At 36.4% G+C, this 19,803-nt stretch overlaps 1 protein-coding gene across 15 annotated transcripts in view; it reads right to left on the bottom strand.

The window, feature by feature from the left end:
* The window catches only part of SORCS1 (sortilin related VPS10 domain containing receptor 1), a 607,476-nt gene that overhangs the window by 537,543 nt on the left and 50,130 nt on the right, over positions 1-19,803 (bottom strand). The window lies entirely within an intron of this gene.

A 19,803-nucleotide genomic window follows, 5' to 3' on the forward strand; every position in this document is an offset into this window, starting at 1 on the left:
ATTCTATAATTGACTCCAAAGAAATGGAGATCTACAAATTTCCTTAAAAAAGAATAAAAAATAATCATCTTAAGAAGCTCAATGAAATGTAAGAAAACATAGACAATTTGATGAAATCAGAACAATGCATGAACAAAATAAAAAGTTTAATAAAGAAATATAAACCATAATAAAGAATCAAACAGAAATCCTAGAGCTGAAGGATAAAATGACAATATTAAAAAATTCAACAGACAACTTTAACAGCAGACTCCACTATGCAGAAGAAATAATTAGTGAATTCAAAGACAGGCCATTTGAAATTAGCCAAGTCCAGGACCAAAAAGATAAAAAGATTTTTAAAAGTTGAAGAAAGCATTAGGGACCTATGGGACAAAAATCAATTGTACAAATATATAAACTGTGTGATTTCTGGAAGGAGAAAGGAGAGAGAGTAAGAGACAGAGAATTATTTAAAGAAACACTTGCTGAAAACTATCCAGACCTTTGGAGAAATATGAGTATTCAGATTCATGAAATTTAAAGGATCCCAACTAAGATCAACCTAAAGAAGAAACTCCAGGACACATTATAAATGAATTATTAAAAGTCAAAGACAAAGAAAATCCTGAAAGCAGCAAGAGAAAAGAGACTTGTCACATATAAGAAAATCTGCATAAGGTTAACAGCAGACATCTCAACAGAAGCCTTTCAGGCCAAAATGGAGTAAGGTAATATATTCAAAATGTCAAAAGAAAAACTGCCAACTAACAATATTATACTCAGCAACTGTAATGCTAAAGGGATTCTTTCAATTTGAAAGAAAAGAGTTATTTCTGTTTCATGTAACAACATGAAAACATATTAAAGTATAAAGCTCACTGGTAAGCTTAAGTATGTAGTCAAATTCGGAATATCCTAATATTATAATGGTGGCTTGCAAATCACTTTTAACCCTAGTATAAAAGTTAAAAAGCATAAAAAAAAACTATAGCTATAATAATTTGTTAATGAACACACAATATAAAAAGATGAAAATGTGCTATCAATTTTATAAAAAAATGGGAAATGGGGCAGTACAAACATAGAGTTCTTGTATGCAAAATAAGGTAATTTGTTATCAGCTAAACTAAAATATTATAATTTTAGGATGTTTTACGTATGTTCCATGGTAAGGTAACCAGAAAGGAAGAAATCTCTAGTAGATACACAAACCATAAAAAGAAAGAAAACAAAGCATACCAATACAAAAATTCAACAAATCACAAAGGAAAACAGCAAGAGTGGAAGAAAGAAACAAAGGAACTACAAAATTGTAGACAATTAAAAAAATGTCAATAGTAAATCCTTATCTATCAACAATAACTTTAAATGTAAATGAATGTAACTCTCTAAAGATACAGAGTGTCTGAATGGGTTAAAAAAAATCAACAATATGCTACCTAAAATAGACTCACTTAAGCCTTAAGGACAAACATAGACTGAAAGTAAAAAAATAGAAAAAGGTATTCTATGAAAAATGGCAACCAAAAGAGAGCATGGGTGGCTATACTTATATCAGACAACATAGATTTTCAGTCAAAATCTGTTAGAAGAGACAAAAAAGGTAGCTACATGATGATAACAATTGTAAATATATATGCACTCAACACTGACGCACCTAAACATATAAGGCAAAAATTTCAGAAATGAAGGGAGAAATAGACAGCAATCAAATAATAATAGGGGACTTCAATAACCCATTTTTCAACAATGGATAGATCATCCAGAGAGAAAATTAATAAAGAAGCAGTAGGCTTGAACAACACTATAAAACAAATGAACTTACCAGACTTACAGCAAACATTCCATCCAACAGCAACAACTACACGTTCTTCTCAAATGCACATGAACTTTCTCCATGATAGATTATACTTTGGGCCACAAAACAATTCTTAACAAATTTGAGAAGACTGAAATCAACCCACATATATTTTCTGACCACAATGGTATAAAACTATAAATCGATATGAGAAATAATTATGAAAAACTCACCAATATGTGGAAATTAAACAACATACTGTTGAACAATCAATGGTTCAAAGAAAAAAATCAAAATAGAAATGAAAAGCATTTGAGACAAATGAAAATAAAATACAACATACCAAAATTTCTGAGATGCAGCAAAACCAGTGCTGAGAGAACTATATAGTGATAAATGCCAACATCAAAATGAAGAAAAAGGCCAGGCGCGGTGCCTTGCATCTGTAATCCCAGCACTTTGGGAGGCTGAGGCAGATGGATCACGAGGTCAAGAGGTCAAGACCATCATCCTGGCCAACATGGTGAAATCCTGTCTCTACTAAAAATACAAAAATTAGCCCGGCAAGGTGGTGCGTGCCTGTAGTCCCAGCTACTTGGGAGGCTGAGGCAGGAGAATCGCTTGAACCCGGGAGGCGGAGGTTGCAGTGAGCGGAGATCACACCACTGCACTCCAGCCTGGGTAACAGGGCAAGACTCCATCTCAAAAAAAAAAAAAAAAAAAGGAAAAGAAAGAACTGAAACAACCTATTGTTACACCTCAAGGAACTAGGAAAATAATAAACTAGGCCCAAAGTCAGCAGAAAGAAAGACATAATAAAGACCAGACCTGAAGTAAATGAAATAGAGACTAAAAAGAAAAGATCAACAAAACTAAGAGTTGGTTTTTTTGAAAAGATATAAATAGACAAAGCTTTAACTAGGTTAACCAGAAAATAAAGAGAGCCCAAATAAATAAAATTAAAATTATAAAAGCGACCCAAAACTGGTAATACAAAAATACAAAGGATCATAAGAGACTACTTGAGTACAGTTATTCACCAACAAATTGGATAACTTAGAGGAAATAAATAAATTCCTAGAAACATTCCACCTACTAAGATGAATAATGAATAACTAGGTAATTTGAATAGACAAATAACAAGTGAGAAGATTGAATCAGTAATCAAAAACCTCCCAACAAAAAAATTCCAGGGTCAATTATACCAAACGTTTAAATAATTAATGCCCATCCTTCTCAAAGTCTTTCAAAAAATTAAAGAGGAGAGGACATCTCCAAACTAATTTTATGAGGCCAGCATAACCTTCAAACTAAAGCCAGGTAAGGATAATACCAGAAAATAAATTACAGTCCAGAAACCTTGATGAACAAAGATAGATGCAAAAATCCTCAACAAAATACTAGTGAAACAAACTCAGAAGCACATTAAAAGGATCATACACCATGTCAAATCAGAAGAATGATTCAACATATGCAAATCAATAAATGTGATGCACTACTTTAAAAGAACAAAGGACAAAAATCATAGATAGTCTCAACATATGCAGAAAAAGCATCTGACAAAATTCAACAATCACTATAAAAACTCTCAACAAATTAGATGTAGAAGGAATTTACTTCAACATGTTAAAGGCCATACATGACAGGCTTATGGGTAGTATAATACTCAATGGTGAAAAAATTTAAAGCTTTTCCTCAAGATCAGGAATAAGACAAGCATACACACTCTCATCACTTCTACTCAACATAGTAATGGAAGTCCTAGCCAGAAACATTGTGTGATAATAAGAAAGAAAATGCATCCAAATTGGAAATGAAAAAGTTAAATTGTATGTTTGCAGGTGTCATAATATTATATACAGAAAAACTTAAACATTCTACCAAAAACCTGTCAGAACTAATAAATAAATTCAGTAAAGTTACAGGAAATAATATCGACATACACATGTCAGTTGCATTTCTATCACCTAACAAACAACTATATCCAAATTGAGATACAGAAATTGAGATCCCATTTACAACAGCATCAAAAATAAGATACTTAAGATAAATTTGGCCAAACAGGTGAAAGATACCTACACTAAAAACTATAAAACACTGATGAAGGATATCAAAGAAGACATAAACTAATAAAAACATATCCCGTGTTTATGGATTGGAAGAATTAATATTGTTTAAACGTCCATATTGCCAAAAGTGATCTACAAAGTCAGTGCAATCTCTGTCAACATTCCAATGACATTTTTCATGAAAACAGAAAAAAAAAAAATCCTAAAGTTCATATGGAACTACAAAAGACCTGAAATAGCCAAAGCAATTTTGAAGAAAAAGAACAAAGCTAGAGGCATCACACTGCCTGATTTTAAAGTATATTACAAAGTCATGTGATCAAAACTGTACGGTATTGGCATAAAAACAGAGATACTAACCAATGGAACAAAATAGAGATCTCAGAAATAAGCACACACATATGTCGTCAACTAATCTTTGATGAGAGTGCCAAGAATATACGGTGAGGGGAAAAAATCACTTCAATAAATGATGCTTGGAAAACAATATCCATACGCAGAAAAATTAAATTCTTTTACTTAAACCATATATAAAAATTAACTCAAAATGGATTAAAAACTTCAATGTAAGATCTGAAACCGTAAAACTCATAGAAGAAAACATAGTTTAAAAGCTCCCTGACATTGGCTTTGGCAATGATTTTTTGGATATGACAACAAAAGAACAGGCAATAAAAGCAAACACAAACAAATGGGAGTACATAAAACCAAAAAGCTTCTGCACAACAAAGAAAATAACCTACCTAGTGAAAAGGCAGTCCATGGAATGAGAGAGAATGTTTGCAAGCTAGCTTTATAATGAAGGGTTAATATCCAAAATGTTTAAGAAATTCATACAACTCAATAGCAAAAAAGACAAATCCCTGATTAAAAAGTGCACAAAGGGCCTAAGTAGACATTTTTATTCAAAGGAAACATATAAATGGCTATTTGTATGTTTTCTTTGAAAAATATGAATAGGTGCTCAACATCACTAATAATCAGAAAAATGAAAAATGAAACCACAATGAGATACCACTTCATACATAGTAGGATGGCCATTATCAAAAAGACAAAAGGTAATTATTGGTGAAGGTGGGAAAAAATGAAACGCTTGTCCACTGTTGATTGGAATGTAAATTGGTATAGCCATTATGTAAGACAGTAGGAAGGCTCTTAAAAAATTAAAAGTAGAACAACATTATATGATCCAGCAATCTCGCCCTGGGACTATCTCCAAAGGAAATGAAATAAGCATCTTCAAGAGATACCAGAATCTCCATATTCATTGCAGCATTATTCACAATAGCTAAGACATGGAATTAATCAAAGTGTCCATTGCTGGATAAATGGATAAAGAAAATTATATATACACACACATACATATATAATGTATTATACATAATGTACACACACACATACATACGTACATACACAAGCAATGGAACATTATACAGCTTTAAAAAGGAAATCCTGCCATATATAAAAACATGGATGAACTTGGAGGACATTATGCTAAGTGAAGTAAGCCAGACACATAAGGGCAAATACCGTATAATTTCACTTATATGTAGAATCACACTCATAGAAACAGGAAGTTACCAGGGACTAGGGGATGCAAGAAAGTGGGAAATGTTGATGTAAGGGTACAAAATATCAATTTTAAGATGAACAAATTCCAGGGATCAAGTCTATGGCAAGGGTGGTAATGGATTTATTAATTAATTTGTTATAATCATTACACAAAGTATACACATATCAAATAATCACGTTGTACACATTGAGTATATATGATTTTTATTTGCCAATTAACTATTTAAAATATAAAAGAAATAATCTTGCTATCAACAGATTTATTAAATGTCTTGGTTTAATTTTATTCCAAGAGCTTGGTATTAATGAATAATCATAGAAACTATATACAAACCAATACACTAAAGAGTAACACAATTATTGTTGATATCCAAATTTGTCAGAATTAAAATCCAATTTTCAGTTTAAAAAAGAAAATGAGAGAAATGAGTTAAAGAGGGAATTATTAAGCAGAAGGGAAGGAGAACTTGAAGATTTGAAAAATTCTTAGCCTATCCCTATTGCAAAAAGTGAAAAAGCATGGCCAATTGCCTATTTGAAAAGAAGATTAATATGGGTGTGAACTATGAACTTAATCCACCACCCAAGCAGGAAAACTGCCAGTTAGAACTGAAAAGAAAAGAAACAAAAAGTAATGAAGGAAAGCTATCAGGCTTTGTTGTTTTTGCAGCATGGGACCAGAGAGGTATATATCTGAGAACAGACATTATTCTTCAATACAAGAACAATGACCCCGGAAGGCCATTCAGAGACCATCAGGACTGCTTTCTCAGGTTCAAAACAGGGGATCATTGCTTTGCTCTCAACAGGCCAGAAAGCCTCTTCTCAAAGCTGTGAGATCAGGGCCCCCCAGAACTGTGAGGTCATGAGTACCCAGGAAAGCGCTGGGGGTGAGAACCCTGCAGAGTAGAGTTTCAAGTTCAGGACTTCTTCCCTAGTGGGCCTAGAAGGTGAAATATTAGCTCCAGTGGGCTTGGAGGCACAGCATGGAGCCAGAGGATTATTCTTGACCCTTAATTCCTTCCCTTCTCAAGATCTCATGAAGTTTGCCTTGTAGTTTCAACTTACTTGGCCTCTGTTACTCCCTTTCTTCTTTCTTATTTCTCCCTTTTGAAATGAAAATGTCTAGCCTATGCCTGTCACACAATTGTATTTTGGAAGCACATAATATGTTTTGTTTCAAAGGTTCACAGCTTTAGAGGATTTTGCCTCACAGTGACTCATACCTCGAGTCTCACACATACCTAATTTAGAAGAGACTTAGAAGAGACTTGGGACTTAGACTTTACAGTTGATGCTAGGATGAATTAAGATATTTGTGGCTAATGGAATGGAATGAATGTATTTTTCATGTAAGAAAGACATGAATTTCGAGGGGCTATGGACAGAATGCTATAGACTGAATGTTTATGTCTCCCCAAAATTCATATGTTGAAACCTTATCCCCAGTGCAATGATATTTAAAGGTGGGGCCTACAGGAGGTGTATAGGTCATGAGGGCAGGACTCTCATGAATGGGATTAATGTCCTTATGAAAGAGACTCTATAAATAAGATCCCTTCTACCTCACATTCTACCATGTGAGGACACAGCCATCTCTGAACCAGGATGTGGGCTCTCGTCAGACACCAAATCCGTTGCTGCCTTGATCTTGGACTTCCCAGCCTTCAAAACTGTGAGAAATAAATTTCTGTTGTTTATAAGCCACCCAGGTTATGTTATTGTTGGAGCAGACAAAACTGACTAAGACAATGTGTTTATTTTTTCTTTAGCTACTAGACAGTTTGCAGTAAATCCAGGAAACAATCCATCAGTTGAATGGGATCATATCATATGCATATGCCCATGACACATTTATCCTTGGGCTTTATTTTTTTCCTCCACTGATTTATCTAACATCCAATGTCCTTTGATTTAAAAATTAACTCTATCTCACTCCATAAATCTGTGAGGGACTTTGCAAAAAATTACATAAAAGGATAAACAGACCGATGGGTGACTATACAGATGAATTGATATCTAGGTAAATAATATCTATTCAGGTCTTTGCACCCTTATCCATTTCTACTTCCTTTCAGACTTTGAGGATACCTGCAATAGTAACTACATTTTTTTCTTGTCAGAATAACCATATACTGAGTATGTCACATTTTGGTTGTCTCCTCTATTTCTGGGTACCATAAAATAACATATAACTATGTCTGAGCAATGGATACAGACAAGACATGACATGTAAAACTTCCAGGTCAGAATACTTATAATGTGAGGTCCTCCACAGCTCTCTTTTCCAATCTCAAGAACCAGCAATGCCACAGTTGGTGGACTCTTTAACACTTGGGTCCCTGAGTGATAACTATGCAGATGAGAACTCCCACATGACTCACACAGGTCATATTGTTCTTTGCTGCAGCATCAACTAATCTATCCTGAAAGCTATATACCATAATGAAATGAGTACAGAGCCAGTGAAATGGAAGTGGTGGACAAGCCTCCAAAGTAGCTGAAACTGGTAATATAGGAAGTGAAAGGAAAAGGCAAAATATCAAAATTTCACTGCAGATTTTGAAGTACACTTTCAAAACTGCAAAAGAATTGGTAAGGGTTTAGAGATGAATCATGAAAGTGACTAGGATAGACATAGAAACAGCAAAGAAATATTAAATGTGCTCTTATTGTTTACCTACAGAATGGTGGCCCTTTGTACATTTCATGCACTCAGCTGAGGTATTGCAACTAGTTTTAAAGAAAGGCTATGGTTTGTATATAAGGGTTGCATTTCAAGAGTCTCTAGCAGTAATCCAATTTAATCTTTCAAGGGAATAATACAAACATGGGATTTGTAATCAGAAATATCTTACTGTGGCTGAGGCTTTGAAAATGTTACTTTGCTTTGCTTGGCCTTGATTTTTGTTTTATTAGGAAAATGGAGAGTATTGTACCTATATGCAGTGTTGATGAGATAATCATATTAAATAATCCAAGAAAATCTTTGGCCAGGGAAAAAGTTCATTTATTATTAGAAGCCTTCAAATATTTTATTTTACAATAGGAAGTCTAATCCACAGAGAGATTAACCTAGTTGTCCATGTCATGGAGCTAAGAAAAATGTCTTCTAATAACCTATAGAATTTGGGTATTTTTCATATTTTCTGAGGACTAAACAAGTAGATAGGTCACAAGTTAAGTCAAAATTAATTTCAGATAGATAAAAGAGTGAGAGTATTCATCATCCAAAAAATGGAGTGGTAGAAAATGAAGGAGGCCTGAGAGTCTCTATCTATGGAACTATCCGTTTACAGCCAAGACTGATCACAGCTAACCACAAATCTGCCCTCACTTAGAAAAGCTTTCCATGGTTTCTTCCAGCTAATTCCTATATGTTTTAATATCTTTTCAGAGCACAAAGCACATGCCATCTAGGATGACTACCAGGCTTTCCATCATGGCCTGCCTTATAATATATCTCCTGTGTTATTATCATTCTTACTGTTTATTAGACTTTAAATTGGTTTTACCTTTGCAAGTGAATATATTTAATGTCAGAAATAATTAGAAGTCGAGATTTTTGAGGGTAAGTATTGAATGAATGTTAACTACTTGGCATCTTCATACATCATATATAAATGTATCATACATTATACATCAATACAGCATAAAGCATCTCTTACAGTGCTATGCACATAGCAGGCAGGTAATTTGTATTTGCTGAATGAATAAATAAATACATGAATAAAGAAAGTAATAAAAAAATTCACTGCCTGTAGGCAAGTACCTGGAAGACATGATTGTACAGTATTATATTATTCTATTCTCTGATGGGAAGAGTCTGATTTAGACTAGAAAATTCAAAACAAGTAAGAGGACATCGAGACTAAGCAAATCACAGCAGTGATACTTATTAGTTTATAGACAGAGACCAAAGACTTATAACATGGATCACTTGAAATAAGGACCAGGAAATTCACAGAAGTAGGCAATCTCATAATGCACAGGATAACCTAATAGATCTTTCCACCTGTTATTCCTCTAAGGGAGGACTCTTTCCATGAAACCAAAGATGACTAACTTGAAAGGCAAAGCACGACTGCTTAAACCGGCCATGCATCACTGGCACCAAACTGCTACAACTGAAAATGCGGAAAGCAGGCTATCCACATTCAAGCAAACCCATTTAATTCCCATACTACATCCCTTCTTGTAACATGCTCCTCATAGGGGAGACCACAGTGAGGAAATCCCTAGGTTCTATGTTTCAGGTCTCAAGTGAAAAAAAAGCAAGAAAAAATGATCTATGCTAAGGAGAAGAGGGAGATGGGAATAGGATGGCTTTGCTTAGGGTCTATATGCCAAAATGCAGAGGATAAAGAGAAAAGCGACCAGCACTTCGAAAAGGAGGTTCATGTTAGAAGGTAACATGGCACAGTGAAAATCACAGGTGTCTTTGGAGCCGAAGTCTTTAAATTTATAACATGCAACTTAGTGTCTATAATCTCAAGCAGTTTATTTCATTTTTCTGAGCTTCAGTTTCCCTTATAAACTGCGGACAGTACCACCTGTTTCTCAGGGTTGCCACAGGATGCCATGTGATTATTCATGAGATTGTCTGGAATATAGTAGCTCAGTAAAATATAATCCCTCTCTGTCAATCCTGAGAGCCATTTTTGACAAAACAAAAAGTTTCAGAATGTTGAGAAGATCCATAAAATGCATGGACCTAGGCAAAGCAGGAGCTCAGAGCTAGAACTGGTTACATGAGCAGAAGAAGCATCCCCACTGCTCTCAATCAAAGACTTGGGTTCTCAAGGACAAAATTCATACAATGACATCTTTGGGACCATCCCTTCTAAGCTTTTAAGTTGTTTAAAGGAAAGTACAACAAAGAAGGCTAGATGATGCCTGTTATTACATTATTGTTAAGACTGGAGGGAAAGGCATTAAATGTAAAATGGCTAACTGTGATTTAACAACATTATCAAACATGATTCTACAGTAAAAAAAAAAAATCACAGGGTATTAAGTAACATCATATCAATTCCCCAGGGAATATCATTTAGAGACAAGATAAAACTGGCATAACAGTACATACAGTTGGAGAATTGTTATGATAAGGGACAAAAACACATTATTTTCTTGTGTATGCATCTCTTTGCATAACAAATATAAAATGTCTGAAAGAAATACACAGTGGTTCCTTTTGACACAAGGACTGTCTGTGGTTTGGGCATGGGGAGAGGGGCTATCAAAGGAAACCAATATTTTTATCTCCATTTTCACCTTTTAATACAAAAATGTATTTATTATATAATAATACAAATGAGGGAAAAGGAAAAAAGGAGGCAAGCACATCTACCTCCAAAAATTAGTTTGGTGGACAGGGAGTGTCCCAAGGGAAAAAGCACCAGCCACCTGATGCTGCTGTGAATGTAGATGTGACCCTCTGTACTTAGTGCCAGTCTTGAGAAGTGCTCCGGAGACTGGTTTTGGCTTTGTCTATTCCAGAGGGCACAAAGAGGTCACCTCATAAGGGAAAATACCCGTTCAAATGACATTCTTATTTCTGTCTCTCTGTTCTCACAACTAAGCACAATACAAGCAAGGGCCTGCCATTCCTGACCTTGGTCAACCCTGATATTTCGTCCATGTACTATTTCTTCCATGTACTTTTCCTTCAAGTAAAACCATTAGAAGTCTGATTTTCATTTCCTTCCTTCTTTTCCCATTCAAAAAGAGAAGTGCTGAGTAGTAAGTAGCAAGAGTTCCACTCCAATGTCAGGGTTCTGTGGCTCTTGCCTCTCTGATCACTTAACCAGGAAAGGTAAGGAAGAAGCTACTCAACCTAATTATAGATAAAAATAGCATGGCATTTGAGTGTCTGTGCTTTTATCTGAAGAAGGAAATAAGGTAAGACCCTAATCTTAAATGATGCATATACAAATAGCGGTAGCATTTAGTTATTTTTATGGATAAAATAGCTTTTTAAGTTAATTTTCTTTAACTTTGATGCTGATGGCACAATAGCATGATGGCACCTCTGTGTCATTATAAAATGTCTATCATCTCCTTACGGACTAAAAGCAGGAAAGAAAAAAAAAAGTAGTCCTGTTTCAGGCTCCAAAGTGAGGCACCGATTTAGCACTTGTCTTCTCTTCTGAATTTGCAGCTGGAGATAAGCTAAGAATTGGGCATGAAGAGGAAAAGGAAGGAAAACTCAAGTTGAAATAACGATAAGCAAATGCTCAGAGTTGTTGATGTCATCCTAGACATTGTTAGAGAGGCAAAGACAGTATCAGTCATTTTGACAAGCCCCTTCTGTTCACTGTTACTGCTTTCCCAGGGAGGCTTTCTTTCACATTTAAGATGAGAAATCATATTCCTCTCCACCCACAATTTCCCCTTTCTTTTTTTCACTTTGTTAAAACATCTAAAAATCATGAGGCAAAGACAAACTGGCAAAAAAAAAAAAAAAAAAGGAAGAAAATGAACAAACACAACAAAACTGAATGAAGCCCAAAGTGTCTGAAGAGCCAAAGCAGCTCCCAACTTACAAGGGGGTATATGGTAAACATTCTCAATGATGTTGCATCTCCCCAGTAAATAATAAAATAATTGGTACTTGTATTCACAGTTTTGCCCACATCTGATGTTGAAAGCTTAGACTAGATGAACTAATATGCATATGTAATAAAGCAATATAGAAGATAACCATACTGTTCAATAAACAGTAAAAGAAACTAAAATGGACTGGAATTATTTGAATGTTAATTCTTGAAAGTAAGTTCAATTACAGAACCTTGCAGTGGATAGATGGAAAGTCACAAGGCAGAACCCTTTGAAAGCAGGGAATATGTCAAAATTAGCCCAGTACTTAGCACAAGAGAGAAACACAATAAATAGAATGTATCATAAGTTAATGCTGCAAATATAAACAAGAAACTGAGATGTGTCCAGAGTTGAAGATGATATATTGGATAACTTTTAGAACGCTTAATTTAACTCAAAATGTAAGGATTTTCTTTTACCTACAGGATACAGCTTAGTGTTTAAATTTGCAGGCCCTGGAGACAGAAAATAAGGGTCTAAATCTATGCTTTGTCATTTACTAGCTAGGGGACTTGAACATATTACCTACTGGAAGCTTCAGTTACTTCATTTGAAAATGGAGACAAGGTTGCAAGGTGTGGTGGCTCACGCCTGTAATCCCAGCACTTTGGGAGGCCAAGAAGGGCAGATCAGGAGGTCAGGAGATTGAGACCATCCTGGTTAACACGGTGAAACCCCGTCTCTACTAAAAATACAAAAAAAAAAAAAAAATGAGCTGGGCGTGGTGGCGGGTACCTGTAGTCCCAGCTACTCGGGAGGCTGAGGCAGGAGAATGGCATGAACCTGGGAGGCGGAGCTTGCAGTGAGCCGAGGTCCTGCCACTGCACTCCAGCCTGGGCGACAGAGCGAGACTTCGTCTCAAAAAAAAAAAAAAAGAAAAGAAAATGGAGACAATGCAAACTGTGAAGGTTAGAGTGAGAATTAAATAATATATGAAAACTTTTTGTACCACGCTTCAGTGCTAGTGTGTTTACAGGTATGTGTTGTTATTGTTCTTGCTGAGCCCAGGAGCCCTAGGAAGAGATATGTGTTCAGCTGGCCTCCAAGTTCATGACTCGTTCCAAAATTAGGTCCTAATTTTGATCTCTGCCTGCAATTGAGACAAGACCATCTGAAATGTATTTAAGTCTTGTTCCCTTTGCAACCCTGGTTCCAATGTTAGAATTAGGTATGTAATTAGAAACCTGTCAGATAGGTAACATAAAATGGAATCAGGACCAGTCAGGTTTTAATTTTTCCTTTTTTTCTCCCAAACCGGTGACTATGAAAACTAGCTCCAAAATGCTCTTAACTGAGCACAGAAAACTGAAAAGGAAGGTAAACGAACCATTAATGGCATCAATTCTTCCCTGCAAACATTTTGCTGGGAACTGGTGGTCGACGTGATCTGAGCACTAGTGGGGCAGCACAAAAAAAGATAAAAGAAAAACAGGTAATCTGAGTCTATGAGTCAGTGATCCATCAACTTGAGGACTCATGTAAGAACAAAATCAAAAGTGAAAAACAAACAAAACGAAAAACAGAAAACCAGCCAAACCTGATAAAAAAGCAACCGTGTATGAAACGTGTAATTTTCTCTTTACAAAACTCACAGAGCAGACAGCATCTCTCCAATTTGATCAAGGAAGTGTCAGCCTTTTGGTCAGCAAAATGCAATTGTGGAAAGCTGAATTCTACCTCACTGCCCACTCTGCTCAGCTTTCTTTTCTTTCTTTCTTTTCTTTTTCTTTTTTTTTTTTTTTTTTGAGATGGAGTCTTGCTCTGTTGCCAGGCTGGAGTGCAGTGGCGCGATCTCGGCTCACTGCAACCTCTGCCTCCCAGGTTCAAGAGATTCCCCTGCCTCCGCCTCCCAAGCAGCTGGGACTACAGGCATGCACCAACACGCCCAGCTAATTTTTATATTTTTACTAAAGATGGGGTTTCACCATGTTGGCCAGGATGGTCTCGATCTCCTGATCTCATAATCTGCACGCCTTGGCCTCAAAAAGTGCTGGGATTACAGGCATGAGCCACCATGCCTGGCCCCGCTCAGCTTTCTTAAAGCAAAATGCCCATTTTCTTTATTTCAGAAAGGCCTAGAAGTTTCACAAATTTGCTCAGCTAGAAATTTTCAAGGATTATAATGATATTTGACTACTTCAACATGAAAACTGCTTTGGATTTACCTTTGGAAGTTGGGAACAGCTTAAAGCATTCTGCCTGGATGTGCTTGATCTGACCAGGAAGGCTATCTTAGAAATGTCAGGAGCATGGATATTCACTCGGTCACTACTCACTCATCTTATTAGTGGTGGCTATACAATTTTTGCATACAGAAGACATTGCTTAACGCATTTGCATATGGGAAAAATCTCTGAAAGTGTGGCTTTTGGGACTGCATCAGAAGGCTGGGAAGCAAATAATGAAGGTGAAATAAGGGGGAAAACAGGCTTCTAGCCAACTTGAAAATCAGTATTTCTTGCTCATAACAGGAAAACTAATTCAGTACCACCAACACCTGGTGGTTTGTGTCTTAATTGAATCATTCAGTTCTTTTTTTCCCCCTCTGCTACTAATAACTGAAGTTTAATAGGATTTTAACATTTCCAGCAAAGTGGCACATATCCCTAGCTCTCTCAGAAGAGGTAATTGACCACGATTGTATTAAACCATCATTATGGGAAATGCTTCAGGTCCCAGAAGAAATGCTACCAATGCTTGTAAATTGGAATGTCCTTCCTTCCTTTTGTCCCTAAGGTGATTTTCCAGTAAGCTAACGTGTTGGGCAAATGTCTGTAACACGTGATTAAACATGATTCAATCTAATTAAATACTTATTTAAGGTCAATTTATCTCTGCTTGACTTTATTACCTCCTGTTTGACCTTGGCCCTTTTCTTTCCTTCCTGAATAAGTCTTTGCTTTGGAAGCGTCCCTTGAGTGACAATAATCCTTTTCATTTTAGGCTCACTTTAAGCCTAACCTCTTCCAAGAAAACCAACGATCACTTCATCCTATCTAAAACAAACAAACAAACAAACAACAAAGCACTCTCCAATGTCTGCTCCTAGTTTTTAAAATTACAAGTAAACACTTAGATCACCAGCCTAGAAAAATATGACTTACCAAGAGTTCCAAGCCATATAGTCAGCATCTTTGAAAATTGCCCTGCACCACCCAGAAAACTGTGATTCATAAATAAGAAAAACGTCTTCGATAGACAGGTATCTACCTTATTAAAATTCTTACGTTTAGATTGTAGTCAAATTTTAATGAGAAATAAAAATAATCTGGCTTCCTGTTGACCTTTAAAAGAGAAGAACCTTGTGAGATTCTGTATTCCATTAGCTTAATCTATACCATTTCCAGCCTTTGGGATGAAGTCAGAAATCCTCGTTAGGAACCTTTCTCTGCATATTTGTGGAGAGTCTGTCTCCATGTCATCAGCTCATTATGAAACACTAAGGAGAGGGGACACAACAGTTCTGCTCATTGCAGAGGCACTTCTTTTGATGGATGTGGATTTTATCTCCTTTAATCGCGGGCATTTCCCTGCATCCCAGTTGAGAGGGAGGATCTGTGACCTCAACATAATTGTATTAATGAATCAGTTGCAAGCAGAAGGGACACAGTCTGTCCATGACAGAAAAACGAGCCTAAAAGATATGTTAGGAACTAATGAGTAAATTGGGAGAATACTTGTAAGCACTCTGCTTGCCATAAATAGCAACAGCAAGGGAACAGCATACAACTTAGCGCCACAGGCAAGTAGCCTTTCCATCCCAGCCCACTCACTTGAGCCCAGCAGTGGTTAACATGATTTACAGATCTTTGATGGCTTTGGAAGTAAATGAGATGCCAACCCCAATCTTGTTTGTGGCAGGCTGATTATTCAAAGATATGTAATTGCATAAAACAAAAAAAAATGCTCATGTTACATTGGCTTTTCAAGGAGGTTTGCTGATAAAGAGCTAGATCTTGCCATTAGGTAAGAGAGATTCTAGATGAAAACTAACTGATTCAGGATTCTATGCTGTCATTTGGGGCATTTCTTATTCTTATGTGCCTGGAACCAATGAATGCACTTCTGCTTGAATATAGCTCCCTTACTTTCAGCACCATAGTTGAAATTCCAATTTTCCAGGATATATCTGTTTGGGCCTCCATAGGTCTGGACTCCTCCACTACTTTGATTTCCTTAGAATACATGTTGTGTATTGGTGATTCTATGTCATTGGCATGTCTTTCTGTTCATTTTCTTAAGTATTCTTGCATCCTTTTTGTGCATCTTCCCCACAGGCATAACTTTGTCTATGATTTGGTTAATTCTTAGGACAGCAGGGAAATGGGATCATGTTCCTGAAGATAGCAGAGGAACTTAAACAAACAATTGGCTCTAGTCAAGTCCTCTGTGAACATCTCACGCCTTTTCTGATTTTGCATCACCTCACTTGTGCTTCCATCCTGCATAGACAGCTTTCCCCTTCTGCCCTCATGCTCAAAGGCTGCCTTTCCATCTGGCATTGTTCAAAGGCACACAGCCTTACCAGATTTCTTCCACCTGGTAGGTAGGGCCCACCTCCACCTCTGAATGTGAGGCAAACTGAGAGAATGGAGTGAATGTGGCAATAAAGGCTGGTTTTTGAGTCAGGCATACCTGGCTTTAAAACTTATCTCTTTCCTTTACTAGCTGTGTGAACTTTGGCCAGTAATGTATCATCTTGGAACCTCAGATTCTTCATTGTAAATTGGTCACACTTATAGTGATTTCAGCTATTTCACAGATAGAATACAAGTATTTCTGCAAAATAGCTATGAAAGGGACTGGAACTCAGGAGGATCTCAACACATTATTTTATTTTCCTTCCAGTATTTCCACTTACTACTTGTACACTCTTCAATATAAGTATAAGGTCTTACAATCTTCATAGGCAGGAAACAAATTCCATAGCACTTCCATTTCTACTTAGGAAATTTAAGTAATCCTTTTCTCCAGATAAACATAAGCCCTTCTTCCAGAAAAAAATAAACTAAGCCTAAATCATGTTCTTCATGAGAAAGAATTTACACAAAAGAAACAAGAGATTAAAGTGTACTTTGGGTGAACACAACATCGGGTTGCATGATGTCCCATCTTGCTCTCACAGTTAGGGAAGTTGCAAATCTCAAGAGTGACCTTTCACAGTCGCTGGGCAAGGAGGAAAGGCAGAAGGGGCAATAGAGTCTAGATTTTGAAATCATCAGTCCTGTAAGTGTTTGATCCCATCACTGTCATTTACCAGCTGGTTGGCTTTGGATAAGTGTCTGAACTCGTTTTCTCATTTCTAAAATGGAAGTAACAACAGTACTTTGTGATGATTAAATATAATGAAACAAACCCATGGAATGTGCTTAGCAAAAACACTCAAACACACACCTGAACCACAGCATAGGGAACTGCTGAAGAACTGCTACCATTAGTTCCTTAAGGAACATTTTCCTAGCTGGGACTTCATTAATCCTAATACCCCTTTATCGTGGAGATGGAGCACTTCTTCTATTTTCTCCTTGCTTCATAATGCTGATGCGTGATGTTGATTAACATCAATTCTTTGGCATTTCTCCCCACTGCCCTTTAGCTATGATCTCAATCTCCAATAAGGTGTCCTGGGTCTTACTCCCAGGTCGTGCCACTATTCCTGGTGATGAGACTCTGATAAAAATACATTAAATTCTGCAAACTTCTTAATAAGAGGTCTGCCTAAAAACATATAATGCACATCTGAAGTCCTTTTAAACCAATAAATTATTTGCAAAAAAGGATGCTCTTTCTCAACACCAGTCCCTGAGCACAAACTCGTACAAATATCAAGGCAATAACAAAAGTTTCCGTTCAGATTCAAGACACCAAGTACAAGTCTTGCTGGAGCAGGCTTCTTCAGCTGGTTGCTATTGACAGCAGACTGGGTGAAATTGTTCTGAAGTACCACATGCATGATAATAGCTGTCTAGATACAGCAAATAGATATAAGCAAATGAATGGTCTTGGAACTGTCTGCTGTCATTCATTTAAAAGAGAATCTCTTGGAGGCTGACTACCTTTGTTCAAAAATAAATTTAACTAGAATTTAGTTGCCGTGGGACGAAAGAACATAGAATAAATCCATCAGGCTCAAGCGAGAGCTGCCAGTTCCTTCAACGTTAAGAGAAATACAATGATTGGGCTCAATTGCTCACTGGCATAAAAAGAAGGGAGAAAAAAGAATGTTCAAATAACTCTGTTGTTATCAAAGGCTGCACATGAGCCTGAACAATAACATAATTGCCTTTGTTCATTAGGGAGAAACCAGGTGGAGACGGTTTAATGTCTTAATTAGGAAAATATTTCACACGAGCATAATTTAAGTTTTAAATTTTACCCACTCTTCCCAATTTGTCATTTAACTTGAAAATGGGAGTGTGTTCTTGTCATCTTACATTCCAAAGGCTTCTTCGAAACAAACCTCTTCAAAGGAAGATCTTTAAGACCCTTTTCAACTGCTCTTCTAATTCTCCTTTCTCAGTGCCCCTAATAACTTCTTTGATGGCTTGGATGAAATCTCTTTTTACTTATTGATTTTAGTTACCCCATCACTCACTCTATTGCTATTGCTGGATTCTGTGTGAGAGACCATTGATCATTTCCTTAACTTCACAAAAGCTTTGCTTTGCTCAAGTGGGAGTTTCTGTGCTTGTTGATGTATGTTTATCCATTAGGAATGAAATCATGTTGCTCTGCCTTACAGAGGATCCACCTCATCTAACTTGAGCAGACTTGATAATGTCTTCAATATGTCCAAGTTTTCTATATATTCTAGGGAAAAAGAACAAACTATCAAGGAAGAAAAAATGTTTCACATGCAATAAAGGACCATCCAACTGGAGGGAATCGCTGTCTTCCAATCCTAATTTTAAGACTTCATTGTGAGTTAAGAGAACCCAAACTTTCTCAGTCAAACCACCAATAATGAGACAATCTGAATAACCTAGTCACTCTAGTGTCCTTATGTAGAAGCAGAGGAAAATTTAAAAAAAATAGGTTTCTCATCTTATGGCTACTTTTATTTACAGAAGGAACAAGTGGACTCTGCTATACAGTTACAAACTGCAGAGCAACAAATAATCAACATTTCTCAAAATCAAGCTTCATACTTATAATAGTTTTAAAGTAGAAAACATATTGCTAAAGCAGTAACAGATGTTAAATAATTTTGAGAGGTAAACCAGGTATTAAATGATTAATCAAAAACTTTCCAAAATCTATCCAGAAGAGCAAAGGCTGGGAGCAACTTATTTAGAGTTGTAAAAGGAGTTCAACATCGTAACAACGGCCTCACATGGCTGACAAGAGCTTCTGTGCAGCAGACAGGCAATGGATGGGAGCACAAAAATGTAAAGTCTTTCGACTTAGAATCTAACATCTTTTGTTCCCACTTTGGCCCTTATCCTACCTGAAGGTGAACAGATTTCCCTATGGACTCTGGACCCCAGAGCTCCTTCCTCGCAGAAAGTTTTCTTTTTTTTTTTTTAATCCTAGATTACTCTTTTAATTGGAATTAAAAAATACATAAATGAAATTTACTATCTTAACCATTTTTCAATGTACAATCCAGTTGCGGTAAGTACCTTCAAAATGTTGTGTAACCATCACCACCATCTATTTCCAGAATGTTTCCATCATCCCCAAACAGAAACACTGGAGCCATTAAGCAATAACTCCACGTTCCTCCCTCCCAATCCCCCAGTAACTTCTAGTCTACTTTCTTCTGTCTTTACAATTAAATTT

Source organism: Homo sapiens, chromosome 10 (assembly GCF_000001405.40).
Source record: "Homo sapiens chromosome 10, GRCh38.p14 Primary Assembly".
Classification (NCBI taxonomy): Eukaryota; Metazoa; Chordata; class Mammalia; order Primates; family Hominidae; genus Homo; species Homo sapiens.